Here is a 6,767-nt window from a genome sequence, read left to right as displayed (position 1 = left end):
TGATGAGCAAAAAAAAAAAAAAAAAAAGAAAGAAAGAAAAAATCTCATAATGTATTAAGAAAGTTTATGTTTATGTATTTGTGTTGGGCCACATTCGAAGCTATCCTGGACCACATGTGGCCTGTGGGCCGTGTGTTGGACAAGTTGCTTTTAGGAGAATAGCAGAGAGCCTAGTGTGGATGCAGCAAAGTGAGCAAGGATGAGGTAGGGTCTGAGAGGCGACAGTAGAGAGTGGAGATGGGGCATGAGGTAGGGCAGGGGTCAGCAAGATTTTTTTATAAAGGGCTGATAGCAAATACTTTAGGCTTTGCAGGATGCATGGTCTTTGCTGCAATGGCTCAACTCTGCAGCTGTGGCAAGAAAGCAGCCCTAGACAGTAAACAAACCAATGGGCATGACTGTGTTCCATTTTAAAAAGACTTTATTTTTTAAATGGACAGCAGGCAGCTAGGTTTGGAGCATGGTTGGGAGACCCCTGATGCACAGCCCTGTAGATCAGTGTAAGGACTTTGGGTTTATGGGAGTAATTGGTTAGCTGTTGGAAGGATTTCAGCATACTGACATGATCTGAATTGTATCTTAACAGGATCACTCTGGATGTTGGGTAGAGAATAGAAAATAGAGAGGAGGAGACAAAGGTGAAAGTAGGGAGACCAGTTAGGAGGCTACTTCAATAATCCAGGCTCATGTCACATAAAATATTTCCTTGGTTTCCAAATCCTGGGAAAGAGTACAACAGTGTTACCAGAGTGATTTATTCAGACCCACACAGCTTTTGTGTAATTAATAATACCTGCCTCCCCGCCAAACCAGGAGGACCCCAAATGCTTTGCAACCTGATTTGCCAAGCAGAACATGAAGAACACTTCATCTAATTGAAACAGTGGGGGGAGATTTTAAATAGGCAACATGCAATTAACCAAATGAGGACAGACACAGGACACTAAGACTCACACCCCAACAGAAATAAAAAACAAAAGCAGTCCAACCCCAAGCTCAGGAGATTGGCAGAGAATGAGACCTGGAGCCGAGCAATTATTGGTACCATGGCAGAACAGGTTCATCATGAATATTGAGACTAGGACAGCATAATGGAGCTATTTTCTTCCCTTCTACCATAGACATGGTGCAGGCCCTGGGATCCTATTTAGAGAGGAGCCATGTCTGCATGAAGTCTGGCTGAGATGGAGTGCTCAAGGGCCATCTGTTGGGGCAAGGGCTTTCTTGAGGGGTGAGCTTTCTTGAGGCAGTGGGACTGACTTGGCCTATGGGCCATTGTTTGATGACCCCTGTACTATGTCATCACACATTTGTTTCTCCTATTAGTACTCCATGGGTTCTACCACCCCTACTACCACTGTGCCTGTTCCCAGTGAAACAGGGTCCAGATGACTCTAGTTCAGTGTGACGGCAGAGGCTGATTACCTACCATGAAGCTATTGAAGCTTTAGCTCCACAGGCTCACTTGAACAAGCTCCTGCTATGGCCCTGGGTGTGCCCCCAACAATGGGATTACATGATTTTAGTTTTTATTTTAAAAAATCATATATTTATATATATAATTTTTAAAATTTGCATAAGACAGCCATAAAAAAGGAGGAGTTCATGTCCTTTGTAGGGACATGGATGAAGCTGGAAACCATCATTCTCAGAAAACTATCGCAAAGACAAAAAACCAAGCACTGCATGTTCTCACTCATAGGTGGGAATTGAACAATGAGAACATTTGGATGCAGGATGGGGAACATCGCACACCAGGGCCTGTCGTGGGGTAGGGAGAGGGGGAAGGGATAGCATTAGGAGATATACCTAATGTAAATGACGAGTTAATGGGTGCAGCACACCAACATGGCACATGTATGCATATGTAACAAACCTGCACATTGTGCACATGTACCCTAGAACTTAAAGTACAATAATAAAAAAAGGCAAATCGTCTTCCATTAAAAGAAATTAAAAATTAAAATTTGCATAAGGAAGATATTTTAATAATATTTCCTCTCTTCCTCCTTGTTCTCATGTCAGTGGCACTGAAACGGTCATGAGTATTTTGGGGGATCTAGTGGAAGGGAAACTTGAGTCTGGAGAAGCATCTAGTTTAGGTCTAGTGGGCTGTTTGTGGGATCACAGTCAGTTGTGTGTATCGTGAGGCTACTGTTTGCTGCCCTAGTGTGGGAGTGGCTTCCAGGACATTCTTGCCACCCTCCGTGACACCCACATACTCTCTCTAGCCATGAAGGTGCAGGGTAGAGATCCCAAGGTGCTATGACAGTGTCCTACAATGGCTGGTACTGTGGGGAGGGAGGAAGGGGAGAAAGAAGACTTGATCTGTGGGAAGGCAGAACTCCATCCGTGGAAAATTTCTTTAATCATCAGACATGTAAAACTCTAAATGGAGAATTGAGTTCTCATCCATGCCCAATCAAAACAGTTTCTCTCTTTTCAGGCCAATACTTAATAATGCAGCATCTGCCATTGTGAACACACTACAGATTTTTTACGGGTATTGCACAAGACAGTAAGGTGCTTAATGAATATTAGTTATTTTATTCCATTTTGCTCTCATTGTTCTATCAAAATGGGTGGAAAATAGAAAACTGACAATGTTGATATGAGCACTAAGAAATATAGGTCTCAGAAATGTAACACTATTAAGAAACAAGAGAAAGTACATTGAGCAGATAAAATCGGTGAATTGTTAGCTTCAATTTGACACTTACTGACGTAAGGTGAACAACCCATAGTCATTCAAGAAGGAAAAGAACAAAATGAAAGAACATGTACAAAACATAAGAGGCATGTCATCGAAAATGATACATAAATAGGAATTCCACAATGTTTTTGTAACTGGGAAGCAGTCTCCCTTCCTTAGTCCCTTATGACATTTGACACACACACACACACACACACACACACACACACACACACACACTTTCAGTAGCTCATTTATATAAAAATCAGGCACTGACTAAAGACATTTCATCTCCCTGAGCCTCAGTTTCTTGATGTGTAACATGGAGTTTGATAACATGACTATTGCAAGACTTCCACTAGGAAATGTTCGTGAAACTGTCTAGCAGAGGGTGGGGCCCCCTGAGGGTGCTCAATACATTTAATTCTCTTCCCGATACCAGGTTGTCGAATGTGGAATAAAGAGTTGGGAAGCTTTGAAGGCCTTGTTTGCCAGTGCTTGCCAGTGTCCACATCATTTCTTAGTCCAACACTTGGCTTCCGCATGATGTTGAGTAACATCCTGCACTTTTTCGGAAATGATTTAAATCCTCTGCAGCAGATGCAGACCCCTGGTCTGAAACAAGAATGGCAACCCTGTGCTGCTAGGAGTAGGCCCAGAGCAATGAACATTTCAGAGGAGGTGTGAGAAGGAAGAGAAACACTTACAACCTGTTTGGGATAGAGGAAATAATGGAATTCCTGTCTTTATAAAACTGCCCCTGCACTTCATCCTATGAGAGATGCACTGAGCCATGTGCATCTCACCCTCACGTCTGTCCTAAGCTGGGGATTATGATCTTCATTTTACAGATGAGGAAACTGAGGCACAGAAATTCCAAGGAGCTTGCCCAAGGACACATGGCAGGACAGGGCTGGGGCTCAAATTTCCTGAACCCATCTCTAGTGCTCTGTGGCACTTGCCTCTCCCCATGTCACAGATTCCGTGTCTCTTCCACCTGCTCATGGTGAAGGCTTTGGGGTGGGTTCTCTGGTCCTGCTCCTCACCTTCCCACCAAACAAGAGGAAAGACACCATGTAATTTTACTTTGGTAAAATTACTCTCACTGATAAGCCAAATTTTGTCTAGAAATTCTGTCTAAGGTCATAAGAGTTTCTCTGAGGAGGCAGGACATTGAATCCCAAGTCCAGAGAGGTTGATCTCTATCTTTAAGAGTTTATCTGAGGCCAGGCATGGTGGCTTATGCCTGTAATCCCAGCACTTTGGGAGGCTGAGGCGTGCAGATCACGAGAGCAGGAGTTCAAGACCAGTCTGGCCAACATAGTGAAACCCCATCTCCACTAAAAATACAAAAAATTAGCCGAGTGTGGTGGTGTGCGCCTGTAATCCCAGCTACTCAGGAGACTGAGGCAGGAAAATTGCATGAACCCAGGAGGCAGAGGTTGCAATGAGCTGAGATTGTGCCATTGCACTCCAGCCCAGGCAACAGTGCAAGACTCTGTCTCAAAAAAAAAAAAAAAAAAAAAAAAAAAAGAGTTTATCTGGAAGAAAACACTTTATCCCAGCTCTTCACTCACTCACTCACTCATTCGTTTATTCATATGTGTATCGAGTGCCCACTCTCCATCGACTGCTATGCTGGGCACAGGCACACAATGGTGGACATGACCAATGAGGTTCTTGTCCTCCTGGACCTGCACCCCAGCAGGGAAGACAGACCAAAAGATAGGAAAACAAGTAAAAAGTACGACTGCAAATGGTGATGAGAGTTAAATAAGAATACAAACAGGAAGCTGAGGTAGAGGCTGCCACTTTGGGTCAGGTGGTACAAGAAGGTGACATTTAAGCCTCGCCCTAAGGGATGAGGGGAAGGCAGCCAAATGAAGGGTGAGGGTGGGGTTAGGATGCTTTGCAGGTAAAGGGAACAACATGTGCCAAGCCCTGACCCAGGAAAACGTGGCCAGTGTGGCTGGAGCACAGGGAGAGATGGAGAGAATGGCCAGAATTGAGTTTGGAGAAGTCATCAGGGACCCACTAATGGCAGGCTTTGTAGTGACGGTAAGGAACCGGTATTTTACTCTGGTTGCCATAGGAAGCCACTGAACTTCAAAAGCATTGCTGTCTAACTGTACTTTAGTGGAGTAGAAAATGGATAGAAATAAGAAGGTTTTGATTTGGACGTTCGCCTTGAGGTAGGCTGATTGCATTAATAGCTCCCAGTCTTCACCCTGTCCATATCCATTTGCCATGTGACTTTCCAATTCCTGCCAGAATCTAGGCGGGATGTGTGACTCACTTTGGCCAAAGGACTGTCGGCAAATGTGATGCAAGCAAAGACTTGAACAAGCACTCGCATGTTTCTATTTGTTCTGCCATCACCATCAAACATCCAGCCTAGATGGAAGAAGAAAGACACGGACCAGAGCTGGGACCTAGTCATCTTATTCGATGAATAGGTGGCCAGCCAGCTCTCACACCAATGAATGAATCTGGCCAGGTCAGCAGAGCTGACTAGCCGAAATGCAACTGACTGCAGGCACATCAGTGAGCCCAGCCACACCCAGAACAGCTGAACCATGCAGACTTGTGAGCTAACTAAATGTTTATTGTTATATGCCATTGAAGTTTTGTGGTTGGTTATTACACAGCACTGTAGTGGCGATGGATAACCAATTCATACCTCAACCTCAAACCGCTTATATCTAAACCCCTGAAACTTCAAAATCAAAGAGTTCAAGTGGACTATTTGGATGCTTCAGCTCCTTCTAGCATGAGCTCTGGAGTCAGGGGTCTGCTCTGCTGTTTATTCCCAGTGAACAGTTGAACAAGGTATTTTACTTCTCTGAATCTTAGCTTCTTTATCCATAAGATGGATTTAATGACCACACCCACCCAGTGGGGTTATTAGAGGAATCAAAGGAGAAAACACTTCATAAACGTTAAATTCTGTCTTTGCATCTTCAAGTTATGATCATCGATATCTTCATGTACAGAGAACATGGAATCAAAGTGAAAAGGAAATAAAAGCAGCTATGGAAAGTGTGGCACAGAGAAGAGATATAAGAACCTGTGCAGAGCTGTGTGTTGAGAATGCACCCTGGTTAGTAAGGTGGATCTGTCCTAGGAAAAACCAGAGATCAATGAACGGTCTTTTACCTGGGGTGTAATATGTTTGGTTGTAAATCACCTTTTACGTGATGGATTGAAAAGGATCACCAGAAGCTAAGAAATTGTCGAGCTAGTGTAACCAGAGGCCCAGAGGTGGTCTCCAGGGCTAGCTGTGTCTAGGCAGCACAAGGAAACACTGCCTGGGAGTCCTCCATTCTGTGGATCAAGATGTCATAACTGTCAAACAGGGCCCTGAGGCTGACTCAGCGGCTGATTCAGGGTTAGGATCACTCACCGGTCAGGCAGCACCTGAGGGTAAATCCCTCCTCCTGTGCTCTGGCCTCACCTCCTGCTTCCTGGGAGGCCCTGCCCCATAGCTTCCACCTTTACCTCTTAAAGATAGATGTTGGCTGGGTGCAGTGGCTCATGCCTGTAATCCCAGCACTTTGGGAGGCTGAGGCAGGAGGATCACGAGGTCAAGAGATCGAGACCATCCTAGCCAACATGGTGAAACCCTGTCTCTACTAAAAATACAAAAATTAGCTGGGTATTGTGGTGCATGCCTGTAATCCCAGCTACTTGGGAGGCTGAGGCAGGAGAATCACTTGAACCCGGGAGGCAGAGGTTGCAGTGAGCCGAGACTGTGCCACTGCACACCAGCCTGGCAACAGAGTGAACTCCATCTCAAAAAATAAAAATAAAAAAAAAATAAGGTAAATGTCTACCTTTCCCACCTCTTTGCAACTCTCTACTTCTGCCTTGACCTCTCAGAAGCATTTAATTCCACATCATTTCTTGCCCCACCCCCAAATATCAACTGCTTGTCAAATCCCAGAGACTTTCTACACCTCCCACTTCCATCATCTTGTTGTTTTGGCCGCCATGACCCTGGTTTTGATATTTATTACTTTTGATTTAAATAATTGCAAATAATCTCTGGTCTCTTTCTTTGCTATTCTGTATTCCA

This window comes from Homo sapiens, chromosome 12 (genome assembly GCF_000001405.40).
Source record: "Homo sapiens chromosome 12, GRCh38.p14 Primary Assembly".
Taxonomy (NCBI): Eukaryota; Metazoa; Chordata; class Mammalia; order Primates; family Hominidae; genus Homo; species Homo sapiens.
This window is presented reverse-complemented; position numbering follows the sequence as displayed.